The sequence below is a fragment of the Homo sapiens genome, chromosome 12, assembly GCF_000001405.40.
Source record: "Homo sapiens chromosome 12, GRCh38.p14 Primary Assembly".
NCBI lineage: Eukaryota > Metazoa > Chordata > Mammalia > Primates > Hominidae > Homo > Homo sapiens.
This window is the reverse complement of record NC_000012.12, coordinates 95,326,925-95,349,732: the sequence shown is the minus strand read 5'-3', so window position 1 is coordinate 95,349,732 and position 22,808 is coordinate 95,326,925. Positions and strand designations below refer to the sequence as shown.

The 22,808-nt window shown below is 43.3% G+C and overlaps 1 long non-coding RNA gene across 1 annotated transcript in view, besides 1 other annotated feature; it reads left to right on the top strand.

Moving 5' to 3' along the window:
- LOC105369917 (uncharacterized) overlaps window positions 1-12,163 on the top strand; it is a 67,929-nt gene extending 55,766 nt beyond the window's left edge. The window contains exons 9-11 of the long non-coding RNA XR_001749265.1: window positions 6,841-6,957; window positions 9,244-9,360; window positions 12,075-12,163. This is a non-coding gene — a long non-coding RNA (uncharacterized LOC105369917). The remainder of the gene's footprint in view (window positions 1-6,840; window positions 6,958-9,243; window positions 9,361-12,074) is intronic.
- Window positions 13,896-14,812: an enhancer, noted in NCBI's record as "H3K27ac hESC enhancer chr12:95728697-95729613 (GRCh37/hg19 assembly coordinates)". NCBI's record gives its function as "activates a minimal SCP1, AML or CMV promoter by ChIP-STARR-seq in naive H9 embryonic stem cells {active_cell/tissue: H9 hESC(naive)}" and the evidence as "EXISTENCE:reporter gene assay evidence [ECO:0000049][PMID:30033119]".

The following is a 22,808-nucleotide window of genomic DNA, read 5'->3' as shown; positions in this document are numbered from 1 at the left end:
GATGGGGTTTCACCATGTTGGCCAGGCTGGTCTTGAATTCCCGACCTCAAGTGATCCGCCCACCTCAGCCTCCCAAAGTGCTGGCATTACGGGCATGAGCCACCACACCCAGTCCCATCTTCTTGATTTCCCAGTTTCTCCTGCAGCTAGGGCCCAGGCACATGACCCAGGCTCCAAAGATCAGATGCGCCTGCCCCAGACTTTCATGCAGCTGCAGGGGCTGCCCGGACTTTCTGGGAGGAAGAGCAGTGGTTCCGCTTGGCTTCTAGTGGCTGTAATGGCTGTGGTTCCTGCAGCTGTGTTTTGGGTCAGGAGGACCAACAGTGCAAGCCGTAGGGTCTGTCCAGCAGCCGTTGTTGTGGTGTTGCTATTGGACACATTCTACAGCATGATTAGGGACATTTTCCCTGGCAGTGGAGCCTCCAAACCCAAGTCTTCCACTCTTGCAAAGGTCTTCCAAGTTATTGAATACATTCCTTTTTGTTTGTTTGCTTAAATTAACCAGTTTGTTTCTGTTGCTTGCAAATAAAAACCCTCATCCTAACAGATTATGGGTTATTACATACTTATATGACATACATGAGAATGACATACACCAAAATTAGGATAAAACGTTGAGTGAAATCAGGCAGGAGTCCTCAGGGACTTTCAGTTGTGTCTCAAATTGTAACAATGGAAAAAATATAAACATATATAGCAAATGGAGTAAAGCATTAATTTGTATTAATATTTGATATTAATACAATAAAGCTCGGTGGTGTGCATGGGGGTGTTATATTATCTTCATATTTTTATGAATATATTAACTACTCCATTATATGCACACACCAACACACATATGTAAACTTTTACTATAATTCAAAATGTACTATTCTGAACATTTCAAAGAAACAATATTCTGCTGATATTATGTGTTTGTCTTTCCATGAAAGAAGATCCATCTCTAAGTTAGCCTGCATCTAAATTCACTAATAAACATTATGCTGAAAAAGGAAAAAATATATTGAAAATAGGTCTGGTGGGGCATTAAGGCAAATGCTGAAATAATGTATTATATTTGCATGCATGGGTTTTCTTAAGCCAAGCAGATACCGTAAATCACCATCATTTTGTAGAAATGCGTTTCTACTGAGGAAAGGCATCAAGACATTTCAAAAAGCATGGCTTCAACAAACATAGCTGATCATTCATCACACTAAGTTGCTTAGTGCATTTGTTTGCTTCAGTTGCTTTAACAAACTACCAGAGCCCAAGGGACTGACATGACAGAAATTAATTTTCTCACAGTTCTGGAAGCTGGAAGTCCATGATCAAGGTCCGTAGCATCAGTATCTGATGAAGGCTCTCTTCCCGGCTTATGGATGGCCACCTTATTGCTGTGTCCTCACGTGGCAGGCAGCAAAAGTCAGCTCTCTGGTGTCCTCTTCTTATAAGGACACTAATCTTATCAGATCAGGATCCCACCCTTATAACATCATTTAACCTTAATTACCTCCATAAAGCCTCTATCTCCAAATACATTGAGGTTTGGAGCGTCAACATACAAATTTTGGGGGGACACATTGAGTCCACAGCACTCAGGTTAAGGGTAAAGAAACTGAAAACACCCAGCACTTTGGAAGGCTGAGGCAGGCGGATCACTTGAGGTCAGCAGTTCGAGGCCAGCCTGGCCAACATAATGAAATCCCGTCTCTTCTAAAAATACTAAAATTAGTCGGGCATGGTGCCACACGCCTGTAATCTCAGCTACAAGGGAGGCTGAGGCAGGAGAATCGCTTGAACCCAGGAGGTGGGGGTTGCAGTGAGCCAAGATCGCTCCACTGCATTCCAGCCTGGGTGACAAGAGCAAGACTCTGTCTCAAAAAAAAAAAAAAAAAAAAAAAAGGCCTGGCACGGTGGCTCACGCCTATAATCCCAGAACTTTGGGAGGCAGGCAGATCACAAGATCAGGAGTTTGAGACCAGCCTGACCAACATGGTGAAACCCTGTCTCTACTAAAAATACAAAAAGTTAGCCAGACATGGTGGCGGGTGCCTGTAGTCCCAGCAACTCGGGAGGCTGAGGCAGGAGAATCGTTTAAACCCGGGAGGTGGAGGTTGCAGTGAGCCAGTATCGCGCCACTGCACTCCAGCTTGGGTGACAGACAGAGACTCTGTCTCATTAAAAAAAAAAAAAAAAAAAAAAAGGACACTGAAATCAACAGTGAATATTTTAATGATAATAAAATGTACTCCTGGCCAGGCACAGTGGCTCATGCCTATAATCCCAGCACTTTGGAAGGCCAAGGTGGGAGGACTGCTTGAGGTGAAATTTGAGCCCAGCCCGGGCAACACAGCAAGACCCCATCTCTGTATTAAAAAATAAAAATAAATAAGATGTACTCTTCTAGCTACCCAGGAATGCCAGTTTAAAATAACCTAATTAAAATACTATATTTTTAAACAAATTTCAGCGTCTCATAAAATTCTTTAAGCTAATTAAAATTCATGAAAGGTTGGTTTTATATGCTTCATAACCCCCCTGGAAGTTTTGTGGAAACACAAACTTACCCCTACATAATAGATGTTAATACTGAAGCACAAAGAAATGAGAAGATTTGCAATCACATTAAGAGTGAGTGACAGGCCAGGTACGGTGGCTCACACCTGTAATCCCAGCACTTTGGGAGGCCTAGACGGGTGGATTACTTGTGGTCAGGAGTTCAAGGCCAGCCTAGCCAACATGGTGAAGCCTCATCTCTACAAAAACACAAAAATTAACTCGGCATGATGGTGGGTGCCTATAATCCCAGCTACTTGGGAGGCTGAGGCGGGAGAATCTCTTGAACCCAGGTGGCGGAGGTTGCAGTGAGCCGAGATTGTGCACTCCAGCAGCCTGGGCAACAGAGCAAAAATTCTGTCTAAAAAAAAAAAAAAAAAAAAGAGTAAGTGACAGATTATGAATCCAAATTTAGCTTTCTGATTTCCATTCTAGCTGTTGGGCTACATAGCTTATTTAGTAGAGGCAATAAAACCAACTCATAAACACCTTACAGATATTTCAGGATCCAGCAAGATAGCAGTATTACAATAGAAAAAATATATGCATGTGTTCAAATCACAGCTGTCATTTACTGCTTGTGTGTTTTTGGTATAATTACTGAATTTCCAGAGCCTCAGTTTTCTCATCTGTAAGGGAATAAAAGTAAGTAACTTACAGACCAGCCTTGTATGCATTCTTCTTAGGTATGTTACAGTGCAATTAACATTCTAGTAATTGCTGGTCAATTATTTGCAATCATTTGGATTCATTGGTCCTCTGAACACGTATTTTATGTTTCTTTCAGAGCCATCGGTGCCTGTATAGCTGAAAAGGCTTATGTTTAACTCTTTTAGTGTATTGACAAATATTTTAACATGTTGGTAAATAAAATCCTGTCCAGAATTAAATGTCAATGCTTTACTAAAGTAATCGCTTGTATATCAGGGGTGTCCTTTCTGTCCTTTCATTTCTTTAATGTGATTTCTAACCATTATATTTCTAGGGTTCCTTTTCCCATTGAAAGCAAGGATACCTGGTTTGCTTCCCAGCTGGTTTGTCCCATGGTCCTAAGGAGAACACTGTGCAGGGACACAGGGCACACGTGCCAATGTAGCTCTCACAGCATCCTGAAAGTGACAGACCTGGAGTATGATCACCTTAGAAGCAGCCAGATGTCCTCTGCGGACCAGGTCATCATAGTCTATGTCTTCTCCTTCAAGCAAAAGGACAAGACTATCAAAGAAGTGGCCAAAGTATATAGGGAGCTATATACTTTTTTTTTTTCTGTTGGCTTCTCAACACACTTTTTTTTTTAACTGAGATATGACATTCGTATAATAAAGATCACAAATCTTAAGGGTATATACCATAATGAATTTTTATGTATATACACACCTGTGTAATCACCACCCAGATCAAATACAGAATTCTTCCAGGCTTGAAAAATCTCTCTCCTACTCCTTCTCATTGAGTAACCTACCCACCTGCCCACCCCCAGGAAACCACTATTCTGCCTTCTATCAGCATGAATTACTTTCATCTGTTCTAGATCTTCATGGACTCACACAGTATGCACTTGTTGATACACAGTTCATTTTAATGCTTCTTCTACCAGAGAATGGGAATAGTAAATACCAGTCATGAGCCAATATTCCCCCATTCTGTGTCTATAGCAGACATCACTAATCCATCATTCTTTTTTTGTTTGTTTGTTTGAGACAGAGTCTTGTTCTGTTGCCCAGGCTGGAGTGCAGTTGTGTGATCTCAGCTCACTGCAGCCTCCACCTTCTGGGTTCAAGTGATTCTCATGCCTCAGCCTCCGGAGTAGCTGGCAAGCACCAACCACGTTTGGCTAATTTTTTTTTTTTTTTTTTTTGTATTTTTAGTAGAGATGGGGTTTCACGGTGCTAGCCAGGCTGGTCTCAAACTTCTGACCTCAAGTCATCTGCGCCCACCTTGGCCTCCCAAAGTGCTGGGATTACAGGCGTGAGCCACCATGCTCAGCCCATCATTCTTTTCAACTGAGCCTAGACTGGGCCCTAAACTCTTTTTTGCTGATTGCACACCAAATAGCCACCACAGACTGATCTCAGAGGCCACTTATGAAACTGAGTTTGGAATCTATCACCACGACTTTCATTTCCTGACTGTCCCTTCTTTCCAATCCCACTGCTTCTGCCTACTTCAGGCCTTCATCACTCCCGAACTGATTTTCTCCAATGCTCTAACTAGTTCTTGCTTTTAGTCTTGAGACCTCTAATATTTCCTACCCATTTCAGGGTGTTTTTTTTTTTTTTTTTTTTTTTTTTGAGATGGGGGTCTCGCTCTGTCGCCCAGACTGGAGTGCAGTGGCGCGATCTCAGCTCACTGCAAGCTCCGCCTCCCAGGTTCACGCCATTCTCCTGTCTCAGCCTCCCGAGTAGCTGGGACTACAGGCACCCACCACCACACCCGGCTAATTTTTTGTATTTTTAGTAGAGACGGGGTTTCACCATGTTAGCCAGGATGATCTCGATCTCCTGACCTTGTGACCTGCCCACCTCGGCCTCCCAAAGTGCTGGGATTACAGGCGTGAGCGGCGCCTGGCCTTTTTTGTTTGTTTGTTTTGAGACGGAGTCTCACACTGTCACTCGGGCTGGAGTGCAGTGGTGCAATCTCAGCTCACTGCAACCTCTGCCTCCCAGATTCAAGTGATTCTCCTACCTCAGCCTCCCAAGTAGCTGGGATTACAGGCACCTGCCATCACAGCCCGTTAATTTTTTGTATTTTTAGTAGAGACAGGATTTCACTATGTTGGCCAAGCTGGTCTCGAATGCCTGACCTTGTGATCCACCCGCCTCGGCCTCCCAAAGTGCTGGGATTACAGGCGTGAGCCACCGTGCCCAGCCAGGTGTTCTTTTTAATATCCGAACATGTCTGCATCATTCTTCTGCTTATAAGTCTCTAAGGACTTCCCTTTAGGCCAAGTCCAAGTTCCTTAGTCTGACATGGAGGGCCCACTCCCACTGGGGCTCTCTCAGCCCTGCCTGTAGATGGCAAATATTTCTTTCAGATCTTTAAAATGTCAGAGTCTCAGTTAATCTTTCCTCAATCGGACAAGAGAAGGCCTCAGAGAAAGCCCTCTTCTGCCTGCATCAGTGCAGATTCTCTGCAGATGCAAATCTCCCCCACAAAAGACAGTTCTGCAGGGTGACTTCTATTCATTGGCTCTCTGAACAGCCACCTCAAAATATGCCAAAGAAGTATATTTCGGGGTGAAATATTTTTATTTCCTTCAGTCCTCACTTTGAAACTTGAAAAAGTTTCACATCTGAAAAGCTAAATTGATAGCTTTGCAGAGATTTGGGTGATAGGCTGCAGAGATAAAGATAGGCAAAGGAGTGGAAAAAAACAAATTGGGATAAGCAAAAACGGGCAAATTTAAATATATCATTCCGTGTCTTCTTGAATCAGTCTCTTAGTCCTAAGAATAAATCAGTTCAGTTAAACAGCTGTGTCCCATTCAGGAGGTGGCATTGCAGATGGGCTAGGCCTTTAGAGATGACGCAGGCAAACAGACAGATCTTTAATAAGAGGCACAAAATGTAAATTTTGACCAAGGACATATTATTTTGTACAACGGGGCTGATAGCAACCTTGCAAGGAGGTCACATGTCATTCTGTAACTGAAAGCTAAAGAAGGAGAATCACAACAGCATTGGCTGAGTCCCCTAAATTTCCAGAAAGTTGATTATTTTTTAGGTCAGCAAGAGGAAGGGAATAATCCCGTGACCAGAGAACCTAAAGAGAATACAAATAAGAATGAAGAAGGTTATAAAACACAGAAAACTTAGCAAAGACCTCTAGTGTCCTCCAAAAGAGTTGCGTGGCTGGATGAGGGCCTTAGCTATCTCTTAATTCTCTTTCATTCCACCTAACCAGGGAACCACAAGTCCTGCATGATAGTGAAATGATTGAGCTGTACCTGGAAGGTGAACAGCAGTAGATACTCTGGTGGAAGCATCAGGGTGTAGACAGAGCTCTTACAAGGGTGGCCTGAGCCACAGAGAGTGTGTCGTGGGTTCTGGGAGTATAGGGAGGACAGCCTTACCTTCCCAGCCTGCTTTGAAGTTGGCTTCCTCTGCCCCTAGGCTGGAAGCTTCTTGATGGTAAGACTGTGTCATGTTCACCATTGTAGCCCCAGTCCCTATCCCTGGGCCCAGCTCATGGTAAACATTGAAAACATATTTGCTGAATGAATCAATGAACCAATGAATGAGTGAATGGTCTCTCAGTCTGATGGCCATGGTCACTGCTAATTCTTTCTTGGTCTCATTGCAGGTGTTTCTAGGACTATGGGCTTGTAACCTGCTGAGCTAGGTTTCACCTGCAGATACAAAGAAGCTGGTTCACCTGCAGATACAGAGAAACTGGGTGGATGGGAGGGTAGAATCACAGGTAAGAGGGGTCAGACTTCTCATTGGGACAACAAGGTGCATCAAATCCCACGATATCTTTGGATGTAGAGAGGGTCTTATTTATGTACCCCATGTACCCCCTTCTTTTTTTTTTTTTTTTTTTTTTTTGAGATGGAGTCTTGCTCTGTCACCCAGGCTGGAATGCAGTGGCACGATCTCCGCTCACTGCAACCTCTGCCTCCCGGTTCAAGCAGTTCTCCTGCCTCAGCCTCCCGAGTAGCTGGGATTACAGGCGCCCACCATCACGCCCAGCTAATTTTTGTATTTCTAGTAGAGACAGGTTTTCACCATGTTGTCCAGGCTGGTCTTGAACTTCTGGCCTCAAATGATCCGCCTGCCTCAGCCTCCCAAAGTGCTGGGATTAAGGCGTGAGCCACCACACCCAGCATCATTAAAGGACCTTAAACAGACAAGTGACATGCAGAGGTTTTTTTTGTATTTTAGAAAGTTTATTTTGTTTATTTTGGAAGAATGGTATGGAAAGGGTCCAAGTGACAGAGAGACCTGTTAAGCTTTTAACTAGGAGGGAAATGATTAGGCAGTAACAGTGGGTGGGAATGGAAAAGGATGCTGGGTATGAGTAACAGTTAGAAATGAGACTCTATAAGATCTGATATGTCAGTGAAGGAAGAATTTAAGGTATCTCCAGCTTCTCACCTGGGCACTTAGAACAGTAGCACTATTTTTTGAGATAGAGAATTCAGGAGGAGGAGGAGAAGAAATGTCTTGTTATCTATTACTGCACAACAAGCCACCCCAGGCTGGGTATGGTGGCCCAGGCCTATAATGCCAGCACTTTGGGAGGCCAAGGTGGGAGGATTGCTTGAGCCCAGGAGCTCAAGATTAGCTTGGGCAACATAGCGAGACCCTGTCTCTATAAAAAAAAGCAAAAAACAAAAAACAAACAAACAAACAAACAAACTTGGAAGCTTAAAAACAACAACCTATATTTATTTATGACCCTGCAGGGATGGCCTGACTCTTTCATGTAGCACTGGCTGGGACAGTTTGAGTACAGCTGAAAAATATCCTCCTTCACAGGGCTGGCAGGCAGTGCCACTGCCATTGGGAGCTGAGTTATGACTGTTAGCCAGTGGGCCCCATTCTCCTTATGAAGGCCTCTCCACATAGCTGCTCGGGTTTCCCCACAACGTGGCATCTGTTTGAAGAAGGAAGACTCCAAGAGGTGAAGATGGAAACTATACATCTCTTAATGCCTGGCCTCAAAAGTTACACAGTCTGCCATTTTTCAAAGCCTGTCACAGGCCAGCCCAGATTCAATGGGAACAGAAATAGCCTTCCATCTCTTGATGGGTAGAGTGGCAAAGAATACACAGCCATTTTCAATCCACCATAAGAACATTTGAAGAAAAAGATGAAAATTTCAGGTGGGACATGTTGAGTTTGAGGTACCTGAGTGACATCAATGTAGAGACATCAAGAAGTAGGCAAGTCAGCGCACAGGTCTGGTGATCAGAGGAGAGCACTAGCTTTGATAGACATTTGGTCACTTGGTAGACATAAATAGTAGTTAGAATTATGCGTTATCCAAAGAGTGTGTGAAGAGAGTGAATGGCAGGAGACAAGATGCAAGCTTTTAGTACAATAGATATTTAGAGGTCAAGTAGAGAAAAAGTCTTCATGAAATGAAGACTAGGAAGCAAGACCTAGAGAAACAGAAAGAAGACAGAAGAGAAAGTGGCCATAGAAGCCCAGCAGAGAGTTGGAGGAGACACTGTTCAATAATTTCAAATGTCATAAAGAGGTCAAGTAGGCCAGGTGCAGTGGCTCACGCCTTAATCTCAGCACTTTGGGAGGCGAAGGCAGGTGGATCACTTGAGCCCAGGAGTTCCAGACCAGCCTAGGCAACATGGCGAAATCCTGTCTCTACAAAAAATACAAAATTTAGCCATGTGTGGTGATGTGTGCCTATGGCACTAGCTACTAGGGAGGCTGAGATGGGAGAATCACCCGAGCCCCAGTAGGGCAAGGCTACAGTGAGCCGTCATTGCACCACTGCACTCCAGCCTGGGCGACAGAGTGAGACTCTATCTAAATAAATAAATAGGTCAAGTAATATTAGAAACATGAAAATGTCGACTGGTCTTGGCAATACAGAGGTCTTTGGTGAGCTTATGAAGGCATTTCTAATGTAGGAATGAGGATAGAGTTTTAAATTTTTTGTTCAAGGATGCAAATATTGCTGAATGAAGCAAAAGATTTGTTGCCTGGAATTTAATATCTTTACAACTCTTTGTTCTTTTAGAGTCATTCGGATTCCTTTCGGTTGCTCAAATATAACATTGTATCTGCTTCTAAATTCATGGGCAACAATTGTCCTCTTCTGGTTCAAAGGCACAATATAATCCCAGGAATTTTTTTGGTATGTGCTTTGAGATATAATGACTCTTTTGACTGGGCTGTTGTGTATGATGTTTGCATGACTTGGGGATTATTCATAGGGTCAACAGAAGGCTACCAAAATAGCTCAGCTTAAATCACAACCTTGGGATAACCCTTGACTTCAGGTCTTCTTATAACTGCAGATTTAACACTGTTGCATTATCTTTACTGTTACTCTAATGAATTTAAAAATTGAATACTCTGTTAAAACTGAGGTGGCCGGCCGGGCGCGGTGGCGCACGCCTGTAATCCCAGCACTTTGGGAGGCCGAGGCGGGAGGATCACGAGGTCAGGAGATCGAGACCATCCCGGCTAAAACGGTGAAACCCCGTCTCTACTAAAAATACAAAAAATTAGCCGGGCGTAGTGGCGGGCGCCTGTAGTCCCAGCTACTTGGGAGGCTGAGGCAGGAGAATGGCGTGAACCCGGGAGGCGGAGCTTGCAGTGAGCCGAGATCCCGCCACTGCACTCCAGCCTGGGCGACAGAGCGAGACTCCTTCTCAAAAAAAAAAAAAAAAAAAAAAAAAAAAAAAAAAAACTGAGGTGGCCATATCATTCGCCTCATGAGTTCATATAAAAATTAAGTGCTAAAATTTAATTCCCACCTTTATGAAGCTTATAACCTAGTTGAGGAGATATGGCTACATAAAAATCCATAGTGTAAGACCTAGTAGAATAACTACCATAAGCAAGACAGCCTGGTGTGGTAGAGAAAAAGCATGAACTTTGAAAACAAACACACTTGAGTTCAAACCTTGATTCTACTATTTGCTTGCTGTGTGACCTTTGGTAAATTACTAAGCTTCTCTGAGCTTGTATCCTCCCTTTCAAAAGGGAGAAATAATAACCAACTCATAAAATTATTGTAAAAATTCAGTGAGATAATGTGCACAAAGTGCTTGTTTCAATTCCTGGCACATCATAGGCAATGAATGCTAATTCCCTTCCACTGGTTTTTCAGTTCAACAAATGTTTATTGACTGTCTGCTCTGTGCCAAACACAAGTACTGAATACTGAAGATACACTCACCCACTCACTCAGTCAATAAAATGAGCCACAGTTCCTTCTGCCAAGGAGCTCCTAGTCCAGTGGGGTGAGCCACAGCCTGAGGCTTCCTGAGAAGTGTCATATGTGCATAGCCACTTGGGTTTCCTCATAGCCAGTTGGGTTTCCTCACAACATGGTGCTGGTTTGAAGAAGGAATGTTCCTGGCCGAGCATAGTGGCTCATGCCAGTAATCCCAGCACTTTGGGAGGCCGAGGTGGGAGGATTGTTTGAGCCCAGGAGTTCAAAACCAGCCTGGGCAACATAGTGAGACCCTGTCTCTACAAAATTAAAAAAATTAGCTGGGCTTGGTAGTGTATGCCTGTAGCCCTAGCTACTCAGGAGGCTGAGGCAAGAGGATCACTTGAGCCTGGAAGTCAAGGCTGCAAGGAGCTGTGATTACACCACTGCACTCCAGCCTCAAAAGTTATGCGGTATGCTATTGCTCATACTATTGGTTAAAGCCAACTGTATACTAGCCCCTAAGGGTAGGTAGGATTTTGTCAGAGAGATGAGAAGAAGGAAGAGAAAGAGGTTCCAGGCAGAGGACATGTTGTAAGTAAAGATAAGGTTTGGCGCACAAGAAACCAGGTGACCTGAATTTTAGTCTAAGACCTTCCCCTTTAACCAGCTGTATTTGTTTGGGTTCATGTCATCTGGAAAAAAAGAAGACTGAGTTAGATCAGTGGCTCTCAATCACAGCTGATGCTTTGGATACATGAAAAAAAAATGACTTCTGGGCTTCACCCTCGAACAATTAAATCAGAATGTCTGTGGATGAGACCCAGCATCAGTATTCTCTTTATTACAATATAGTTTACATACAACGTAATGCGTTCAAGTGAATATTTTAAGCGCCAATGAGTTTGACAAACGTATGTACCCATGTAATCACTTCCACAGTCAAGATAGAAAACACTGCCATCACCCTAAAAGTTTCCTTTGGCCCATTAGCTGCCAGTCCTTCCAACATCATCCCCAGATCACCACTGATCAGTGTTCTGTCACTATAGATTAGGTTTGTCCCTTCTAGAATTTCATCTAAAAGGATTCATATGCCTGTAATCCCAGCACTTTCAGAGGCTGAGGCAGGTGGATCACGAGGTAGGGAGTTCAAGACCAGCCTGGCCAACATAGTGAAACCCCATCTCTACTAAAAATACAGAAAATTAGCCGGGCGTGGTAGCAGGTGCCTGTAATCCCAGCTACTTGGGAGGCTGAGGCAGGAGAATCACTTGAACCCAGGAGGCAGAGGTTGCGGTGAGCGGAGATCATGGCACTGCACTCCAGCCTGGGTGACAGTCCAAGACTCCATCTCAAAAAAAAAAAAAAAGGATTCATACAGTAAGTATTATTTTGTCTGGCTACAATGAGGTATTAGCGTTTGTTTTAAAAGTTTCTCTGGGTGATTTTAATGAGAAGCAATGACTGGATGATCTTTCAGGACCCTTCCAGCTAAAAAGATGCCATGATTTCATCTGCTAGCCTAGAGGCACTTTATGAAAGTTGCATTTTGGGAATAATATATATGATAGATATCATTATAATAATTATGACAATGGTAATACTAATGTTTATTGATCTTTAACTATGTGCCCAGGCACTGTGCTAAGTTATTCATGTGTATTTTCTTATCTAAATCCTCACAGCAATCCAGGGGGTAGGTACTAATTTTATCCCTGATAACAGAGGTGGAAACTGAGACACAGGTTAACTTATCTAAGGTCAAGGAGCTCGCATGTGGTGGGATCAGAATTCAAATCCAGATTTTCTCACTATGAACAGAGACTGCTTTTAATCAAAATTCTGCAAGAGTTTCTACAAGGTGAAGTCTCAGCCCCCACTTCCTCGGACATGCTCGTAAGAAGTGTAAAGTGTTCCCAGATGAATGCTTTCAGCTTGTTGATGAGTTCCAGCTGGGGAGAAGAAATAATTCAACCGTACATTTAGCAAGAAGGCACAGAGCCTACCTCAATATGCAAAGGAATCCAGCTTGTTTCAAGTGTCAAGTGACAGTTTAGACAAGAGAAAAGGACTCAGTACAAATGAGATGGGACAGAGGTTGCATCCCGTGCATGTCTTCTGAGATATATACAAAATAGAGAAACAAAGACTAACTCATCCACTGATTTCACCGTAGTAATGCAGATTATTTCCTGACATTTCAATACACAGATACACACACACACACACCACACACACACACACACACACATCTATTTTCAGTTTTCAAAATATTCATCACTGTCACTACGAACAATGAACAACTAGTCTTATTTTGTGGTAGAGGAGTCTTCCCAGAGTACCTGACAGGTGACCAAATATCACCCTGCTCCTGCAAACCTATTTGATTCTGGGAGTCTTGGTAGACATGCTTGGTTGGTTTACAGCCTGTGCTTCTTATAAATTCACTAGTGGCTTAAAAAAAAAAAAAAGCATCAGCACGATGAAAATATATGTCTTTCTTAAGTTGCACTCACCCATGACATCCAAATCAAAGGCTTGTCAGCTGAGGTTGTCCCAGTTCCCTCCAAGAGAATATTAACAATTAATCCTGATCACCCGAAACAAACAGGTTCCTATTCAAATACTGGCTGTCAGTATCTGGCTGTCAAGCCAAGAGCAAGGCTAAGGCCTCAGCCTGCCCAGCTGTCTGCCCGCTGGGTGACAGTGTTGATCCATCTGAAATAAATGCGCTTTGTCCCTGGGCCAGAAAATACCAGGTCCCTAAAAGGAAAGACTGCAGCCAGATGGTGTTCTGAGGGCCTGGGGAAACGCTTTGCCTTCCTTCCCGGAGAGAAGCAGAATGATTCTGTGTTTTCTTTATCTTTCAAAGGAAGATGTGAGGTGAAGCATTGTTCTGATGTTACCATATTGGGCTAGGTTTCTCTGGGCGAAGTGCTACCGCGAATGATGTGATTACACATAATAAATTACTTGCATTTTCCTGATAATTTAATGAGGGCAAAGAGCTTGCAATGAGCGTTGTGAAAACTCAGCTGAAAATTCATTTCAGCTGTTTGTTCGGATGCATGGGGCTGGAAGGATTCTTTAACTGAGGTGTTCTTTTTTATACACATGTGCATCCAGGGCTCTGGGGTGGGACAAGATTGTCTCTGTGGAATATTATTTCCAAATTGCCAGCTCACATATTTACATTATTCTATCTGTTCTGACGTGATCCTTGACTTCAAGAGGGAAGAGAGTTCCTGTCCAGATACAAATACTGTTCAGATGCAAATACAGGAACAGGCCAGCTGCAGTGGCTCATGCCTATAATCCTAGCACTTCCCTGGGAGGCTGAGGTGGGAGGATCACCTGAGGCCAGGAGTTCAGGACCAGCCTGGTCAACGTGGTGAAACCCCGTCTCTAATAAAAACACAAAAATTAGCCAGGCATGGTGGCGTGTGCCTATAATTCCAGCTACTTGGGAGGCTGAGGCAGGAGAATCACTCCAGCCTGGGTGACAGAGTGAGACTCCATTTCGAAAAACAACAAAAACAGGAACAAATACTGTAGTCTGTAGTTACAATTCCAGGTGACCAGTGGAAATGGTGGAAGTGTGTAGTGACACCGCAGTAGAGGAGAGAGAATGATGGAACCAGCCATGTCTCTCCTTTAAAGGGACAAGACAGAAAATGAATTGAGTGCTTCAGGAGGCTTTAAAAGGCTTGGTTTGGGCCATTTTTTGTTCTCCTCCACCGTACCTCTCCAAAGATGGAGTAAAGAGAATAGTGACTCAAAACATTGTGACTCTTCATCACAATGTTTTATGAGGAATGAAGCCATGTTAATTTTTTTTTAAGCGAGACAGAGTCTGTCACCTAGACCGGAGTGCAGTGACACAATTATAGCTCACTGCAGCCTTGACTCCTGGGCTCAAGGGATCCTCCCGCCTCAGCTTCCTAAGTAGCTAGGACGGCAGGCACACACCATCACACATGACTAATTTTATTTTTTGTAGATTTGAGGTCTCACTATGTTGCCCAGACTGGCATCAAACTCCTGGCCTTAAGTGATAGATCCTCCTGCCTCATCTTCCCAAAATGGGGGGATTACAGGCATGAGCCACTGCCCCGAGCCAAAGTCATGTTTACGTGAGCCTTTGTCCCAAATTCTTATAATCAGGTTGAAAGACTAAAATAGAATTATCAACTTAAGAAATTATATCACAAAACTTTTAGTACTTAGTATATGTGCTGCCGAAGCGAGCACAACAAAACTTATAGTACTTAAATAGTTTCTTGGCTGGGCATAGTAGCTCAGGCCTGTAATCTCAGCACTTTTGGAAGCTAGACAGGAAGATTGCTTGAGACCAGGCATTCAAGACCAGCCTGGGCAACATAGTGAGATCCCATCAAAAAAAAATTATTTTTAAGTTTCTTTTTTCACCTTTGTTTTATTTAATATTATTTGATCCAACTTATTTGAGCCAATTTAGCACATTTATATTTTATTACAAGTGACATAATAAAGGTTTGGGTTTTTTAATAACAAAGGTTTTTGATATTTCAACTACACTACAACTGCAGTCATATTTTCTAAAGGAGCTCTCCTTGAGTTCTGAGAATCTCAAATGAGGGTGAAGAATACAAACAGGTGGGCTGTGGATTGGGCTTTTGCTCTCTGAGACTCACACAGACACTGAGCATCACGGAGCCAAGGACCATCAAAGCCAGAGGGTGAAGCTGTTGAGCTGTGAGTCACTTCCCTGTCTCTCCTCTTCAGACACTTCAAAGCCTTTTCTAACTTTAGCTACCGAACACCCAGACAGCATGGGCCCTCTTAGGGCAAACTGCAACCACACGCATTTTTTTTTTTTTTTTGAAAGGGAGTCTCACTCTTGTTGCCCAGGCTGGAGTGCAGTGGCATGATCTTGGCTCACTGCAACCTCCGCCTCCTGGATTCAAGCGATTCTCCTGCCTCAGCCTCCTGAGTAGCTGGGATTACAGGTGTGTGCCACCATGCCTGGCTAATTTTTGTATTTTTAGTAGAGATGAGGTTTCACCGTGTTGGCCAGGCTGATCTCAAATTCCTGACCTCAGGTGATCCACCTGCCTCGGCCTCCCAAAGTGCTGGGATTACAGGCATGAGCCACCGTGCTCCACTCCACATGCATTTTTGTATCCTATTCAGTATATATTAAGGATATTTTATCAGAGTTTTGGTAGCCTCTACCCTGCAGGGACCAACCACATGATCAGCAGAGAGGGTAAAAGGATTTATGAGAGGAGGCCTTGGGCAGCAGAGATTGAGAACTTTCTGGGACTTACCAGAACAGAGCAGTAAGCAGCTCCAGGAACACCCATATCTTTCTGTCCCTGCAGAGATGTGCACACATCTACTCATCTTCCTATTTCTTTTCTTTTCTTTGAGACAGTCTTGCTCTGTCACCCAGGCTGGAGTCCAGTGGCACAATCTCGGCTCACTGCAACCTCCACCTCCTGGGTTCAAGCGATTCTCCTGCCTCGGCCTCCCGAGAAGCTGGAATTAACAGGTGCCTTCCACCAGGCCGGGCTAATTTTTGTATTTTTAGTAGAGACAGGGTTTCGCTATGTTGGCCAGGCTGGTCTCAAACTCCTGACCTCAGGTGATCCACCGCCTAGGCCTCCCAGAGTGGTGGGATTACAGGCGTGAGCCACTGCACCCAGGCCACATCTTCCAATTTATTTTACCTTCTTAGTATTCCGATCCTGAAGGTCTTTGGAGGCTTATATGACTGCTTTGTGAGAAGTCAGCACCACAGATTATTTGCAGGGAGGGTCCTCTGGTATACTTTGATTTTTGAAAATGCAGAAAAGCATAAAGAAAGAAATTAAAAGCATTCACACTTCTGCTACCCAGAACTAAGCACTGCTAATGGTTAGGTGTATGAGCACACCTCATTCTACTGTGCTTTGTAGTTATTGCATTTCACAAATATCGTGATTTTTACAAACTGAAGATTTTTGACAACCCTGTGTCCTGCAAGTCTATCAGCACCATTTTTCCAACAGCATGAGCTCACCACATGTCTCTGGGTCACATTTTCGTAATTGTAGCAACATTTCAAACTTTTTTTTTTTTTAAGGACAGGGTCTCCCTCCCGTCACCCAGGCTGGAATGCAGTGGTGTGATCTTAACTCACTGCAGCCTCCATTTCCTGAGCTCCCACCTCAGCCTCTCGAGTGGCTGGATGTACAGGCGCGCACCCCGACACCCAGCTAATTTTTTGTATTTTTATTAGCTATGGGGTCTCGCCATGTTGCCCAAGCTGGCCTTGAACTCTCAGGCTCAAGCGATCTGTCCACTTTGGCCTCCTGAAGTATTAGGATTAAAGGCATGAGCCACAGCGCCTGGCCTCAAACTTTTCATTATTATTATATTTCTTAGAGTGATCTGAGATCAATGATCTTTGATGTTACTATTGTAACTGTTTTCAGGCACCACAAACCAAGCCCATATAAAATGGCTTAATTTTGATCAATGTTGCGTGTATTTTGACTGCTCTGCTGACTGGCTATTTTCCCAATCTCTTTCCCTCTCCTCTAGCCTCCCTATTCCCTGAGACACAACAATATTGAAATTAGGGCTACAGTGGCCTTTAAGTATTCAAGTGAAAGGAAGACTTGCCCAACTCTCACTTTAAATCAAAAGCTATGATTTAGCAATGATTAAGCTTAGTGAGAAGGGCATGTTGAAAGCTGACATAGGCCGAGAGCAAGGCTGCCTTTCACCATTCAGTTTAGTCGAGTTGTGAATGCAAAGGAAAAGTTCTAGAAGGAAATGAAAATGCTACTCCAGTGAATACACAAATGATAATAAAGCAAAACAGCCTTACTACTGACAGGGAGAAAATTTTAGTCATCTGGATAGAAGATCAAATCAGCCACAACATTCCCTTAAGCCAAAGCCTAATCCAGAGCAAGGCCCTAACTCTCTTCAATTGTATGAAGGCTGAGAGAGATGAGGAAGGTGCAGGAGAAAAAGTTGAAGCTAGCAGATGTTGGTTCCTGAGGTTTAAGGAAAGAAGTGGTCTCTGTAATATAAAGGTGCAAGGTAAAGCAGCAAGTCCTAAATATAGAAGCTGCAGTAAGTTCTCTAGATCTAACTAAGATCATTGGTGAAGGTGGCTACACTAAATAACAGATTTTTAACATCGATGAAACAGCCATATATATATTTTTTTCTTTTTAAGTGAAAGCAAGTTTATTAAGAAAGTAAAAGAATAAAGAATGGCTACTCTACAGACAAAGAAGCCCCAGGGGTTGCTGGTTGCCCATTTTTATGATTATTTCTTGATTATATGCTAAATGAGGGGTAGATTATTCATGCCTCCCCTTTCTAGACCATATAGGGCAACTTCCTGACATTGCCATGGCACTTGTAAACTGTCATGGCGCTGGTGGGAGTGTAGCAGTGAGGATGACCAGAAGTTACTCTCGTCGCCACCTTGGTTTTGGCTGACTTCTTTACTGCAACCCGTTTTATCAGCAAGGTCTTTATGACCTATATCTTGTGCCTACCTTTTAACTCATCCTGTGACTTAGAATGCCTAACCGTCTGGGAATGCCACCCAGGAGGTCTCAGCTTTATTTTACTTAGTCTCTATCCAAGATGGAGTCGCTCCAGTTCAAATGCCTCTGACATTTCCCCCCTCTCTTTTATAAGAGAAACTTTAATCCTAAGGGTTGCAGAGGGATGAAGATCCATCTTCTATAACTTATTCAAGCTGAATAGGCGCAATGATATTCCTGCCTAACTACTGGGTCTCTTGCATTCAGGGTAGAGAGGAGCTCAGTCAAAAGCATTAGTATGTTGAGGTCCATTCATAACTTTGAGTTCTGACCAAACGTGATATCTGGAAGATTAATAAATGTTCAATTTAGGTAAACGTTGAGTAAGTTTATTCCTCATTCCTATACAAAGAGTACAATAGCAATATATTCCACAAGAGTAAAGCAAAATAAGTAAAATTATCCTGAGTAAACTAAATAAGAAGGCTTTCTATGAACTGGGCAACTGCTGGAACCAAGCTGATATGGGGTCGCTAGTTGATTCCAGTATGTGCCCAGAATTAGAATATTGATCTAGATTTTTTATACTACCCATCCCTCTGGTTTCTTCTGAGCTGCAGTTGGAGATCACTGATTGGTTCACAGGAATAAGCAAAGTTAGCCTAAATTGCAGTGGAAAAAACCCCTCAAAAACAACCAATGAGACTAGAATCTAATATCAGGTGTACCATAGTTCTTGAAACATTAATTTTTTCTCTCTCCAGTCTCCCATTTTTACTAAAGACAAATCATGGTAAGACTGATTTGCTTTATTATACTTGGCCTGATTATTTGTATAAAGTACAGCAAGAATAATTTTTTTTTCATATAGGATTTTAAAGTTGGCGTTGATGGAACTCTGTTCCATAAGGAATCTCAGATAAGACCTTTTTAAAGCTGAGCCCAGCCATGGGTTTGTATCCTCAAATACCTAGGAGTTGAGTAAATTCCTCTCCTCTTGAGGTCCCAAGATAGCTTGGGGCTTCTGGGCCTGTTAGAAAGTGACATCTTTACTTACCATACGTTAGGAATCCTGTACAGAAACAGCCTTGTATTGGAAGAAGATGCCAGCTAGGACTTTTGTAGCTGTAGAGAAGTCAATGCTTGGCTTCTAAGCTTCAAAAGACAGGCTGACTCTATTGTTAAGGGCTAGTGCAGCTAGGGACTTTAAGTTGAAGCCAGTGCTCATTTACCATTCCAAAAATTCTAGAGCCCTTTAGAATTATGCTAAATCTACTCTGCCTGCGCTCTATATAGAACAACAAAGCCTAGATGACAGCACATCTGTTTCTACCATGGTTTACTAAATATTTTAAACTCACAGTTGAGACCTAGATTTAGAAGTGACACTTGATTTAGAAGTGGAGCCTAGCCAGGCGCGGTGGCTCATGCCTGTAATCCCAGCACTTTGGGAGGCTGAGGCGGGCAGATCACCTGAAGTGGGGAGTTCGAGACCAGCCTGACCAACATGGAGAAACCCTGTCTCTACTAAAAATATAAAATTAGCTGGGCGTGTTGGTGCATGCCTTTAATCCCAGCTACTTGAGAGGCTGAGGCAGGAGGATCGCTTGAACCCAGGAGGTGGAGGTTGCAGTGAGCTGAGATCATACCTTTGCACTCTAGCCTGTGCAACAAGAGCAAAACACTGTCTCAAAAAAAAAAAAAAAAAAAAAGAAAAAGAAAAAAAGAAAGAAATGGAGCCTAAAGATGTGCATTGCTGCAATCTCATAAAACTTGAATGGATGAGGAGTTGCTTCTTATAAATCAGCAAAGAAAGTGGTTTCTTGAGATGGAATCTACTTCTGGTGAAGATGCTGTGAACATTGCTGAAATGACACAAAGGATTGGCATTTTATATAACCTTAGTTGATAAAGCAGCAGCAGGGTTGGACAGGATTGACTCCTTTTTTTGGTGGGGGCACAGAGTCTCACTCACTCACCCAGACTGGAGGGCAGTGGGACGATCTTTTTTTTTTTTTTTTTTTTTTTTTTTTTTTTTGAGACAGAGTTTTGCTCTTACTGCCCAGGCTGGAGTGCAATGGCACAATCTCAGCTCACCACAACCTCCGCCTCCCAGGTTCAAGCAATGCTCCTGCCTCAGCCTCCCAAGTAGCTGAGATTATAGGCGCACACAACCACGCCTGGCTAATTTTTGTATTTTTAGTAGAGACGGGGTTTCACCATGTTGGTTAGGCTGGTCTCGAACTCCTGACCTCGTGATCCACCCACCTCGGCCTCCCAAAGTGCTGGGATTACAGGTATGAGCCACCATGCCCGGCCAGTGGCACGATCTTGGCTCACCGCAACCTCCACCTCCTGGGCTTAAATGATTCTCATGCCTCGGCCTTCTGAGTAGCTGGAACTATAGTTGTGTGCCATCACGCCTGGCTAATTTTTGTATTTTTAGTAGAGATGGGTTTCTATTACACCTTTTTTTTTTTTTTAAGTTTCACCATGTTGTCCAGGCTGGTCTTGAACTCCTGATCTCAGGTGGTCTGCCCACCTCGGCCTCCCAAAGCAGTGGAATTACAGGCATGAGCCACTGCACCTAGCCAATTGACTCTGATTTTGAAAGAAGGTATACTCTAAGGAAAATGCTATCAAACAGCATTGCAGGCCACAGAAAAATCTTTCATGAAAGGAAGAGTCAATCAATGCAGTAAACTTCATTGTTGTCTTATTTTTAAAAATTGCCACAGTCACAGCCTTCAGCAACCACCACCCTGATTAGTCAGCAGCCATCAACATCAAGGCAAGACCCTCCACCAGCAAAGAGATTATGACTCACTGAAAGCTCAGATGATCCTTAGCACTTTTTAGCAATAAAGTATTTTTTATTTAAGGTATGTACCTTTTTTAGACAATGCTATTATTGCACTCTTTATAGCCTACAATATAGTATTAGCATAACTTTTATATTCACTGGAAAACCAAGAAAAATCTGTGACTCATTTTATTGTGATATTTGCTTTATTGCAGTGGTCTAGAACCAAACCTGCAGTATCTCTGAGGTGGTGCTTGTAGAACCTCCCAATATTTATAGACACACACACATACACATATACACATGCCAAATTAGGATTCTGGAGTACATAGAACAACATATTATAAGCATATTATAGGGAAGTCCTTATATCACTAAGTATTGTTACTACATTCTTTCATAGTAGCATCAATTGTGTGGGCTGCATAATATTCCATTATGTGGATATCCCATAATTTATTATTTAACACATCATGTGTTGCTGGATATTAAATTACTTATTTATTTATTTATTTTTAAAGATAAAGTCTCACTCTGTCACCAGACTGGAGTGCAGTGGCGTGAGCATGGCACACTGCAGCTTTGACCTCCTGGGCTGAAGTGATCCTCCCACCTCAACCTCTCAAGTAGCTGGGACAGCAGGCACATGCCACTATGCTCGGCTAATGTTTTCATTTTTTGTAGAGAGGGGTCTTTTTTTTTTTTTTTTTTTTTTTTTTTGAGATGGAGTCTCGCTCTGTCGCCCAGGCTGGAGTGCAGTGGTACGATCTCGGCTCACTGCAAGCTCCGCCTCCTGGGTTCACGCCATTCTCCTGCCTCAGCCTCCTGAGTAGCTGGGACTACAGGCGTGTGCCATTGCCCAGCTAATTTTTTGTATTTTTAGTAGAGATGGAGTTTCACCATGTTAGCCAGGATGGTCTCGATTTCCTGACCTTGTGATCTGCCCACCTCGGCCTCCCAAAGTGCTGGATTACAGGCGTGAACCACTGTGCCCAGCCTAGAGATGGGGTCTTGCTGTGTTGCCCAAGCTGGTAAAATATTTTAAAGAAGAATGTTTAAAAAATTAGAGTTGTCCAAATGTTGGAATGAATAGCCTTATAAAGCAGTGAGCTCTTTTTTCCAGAGGCTAGAATATAATTTTTAAAGGAGATATCGCAGAAGAAATTCCTACCCTGAGGGGGTGCCTTCCTTCTATTCTCTGGGCCCCTTTTTTCTTGGCAATTACTTTTCTTCCCAGGGTTCACCCTCTTCCCCTATTCTTCAGTCTCCCCTTGACCTTATGATCCTGAACATCTCCTTTCCCCTCCTTAGTACCAGATGCACAAAACACTGATTTTGCTTCGCTGTCCCTACCATAGAGTTTTGGAGCCTAGGAAGAAAGTCGCTTTCCTGGCCAATAAGACCATATACACACTCTCTAGGTCCAATAGCCTTTTTTGTTTAATAGTTAAGGAGCTCAGCATCACGTCATAAAAACACCATAGGCCTTTGGTGTCTTTAAAAATGGGATACTACTGGCAGGGCGTGGTGGCTCACGCCTGTCATCCCAGCACTTTGGGAGGTCGAGGCAGGCGGATCACCTGAGGTCAGAAGTTCGAGACCAGCCTGGCCAACATGGTGAAACCTCATCTCTACTAAAAATACAAAAAATTAGCCAGGCGTGGTAGCGCACACCTGTAATCTCAGCTACGCAGGAGGCTGAGGTAGGAGAATCTTTTGAACTTGGGAGGCAGAGGTTGCAGTGAATCAAGATGGTGCCACGGCACTCCAGCCTGGGCGACAGAGTGAGACTCTGTATCAAAAAAAAAAGAAAAAAAAAAGGGCAGGGATACTACTTAGGATAGATGCAGAAAAGAGTTGCCTGAAGAAATATAAGTGCATGTGAGGTAAGAAAAAAATGAGCCCAGGAGTTTGAGGCTGCAGTGAGCTGTGATTGCATCCCTGCACTCCAGCCGAGTGATAGAGCAAGACTCTGTCAAACAAACAAAAAAGGGTAAGAAAATAGTCTTTCGGGGGATGCCACCTTATCCAGGTTAGTAGCATTGTTTTAATCTCGTGAGATCCTCAGTGTTGACTTTGATCAC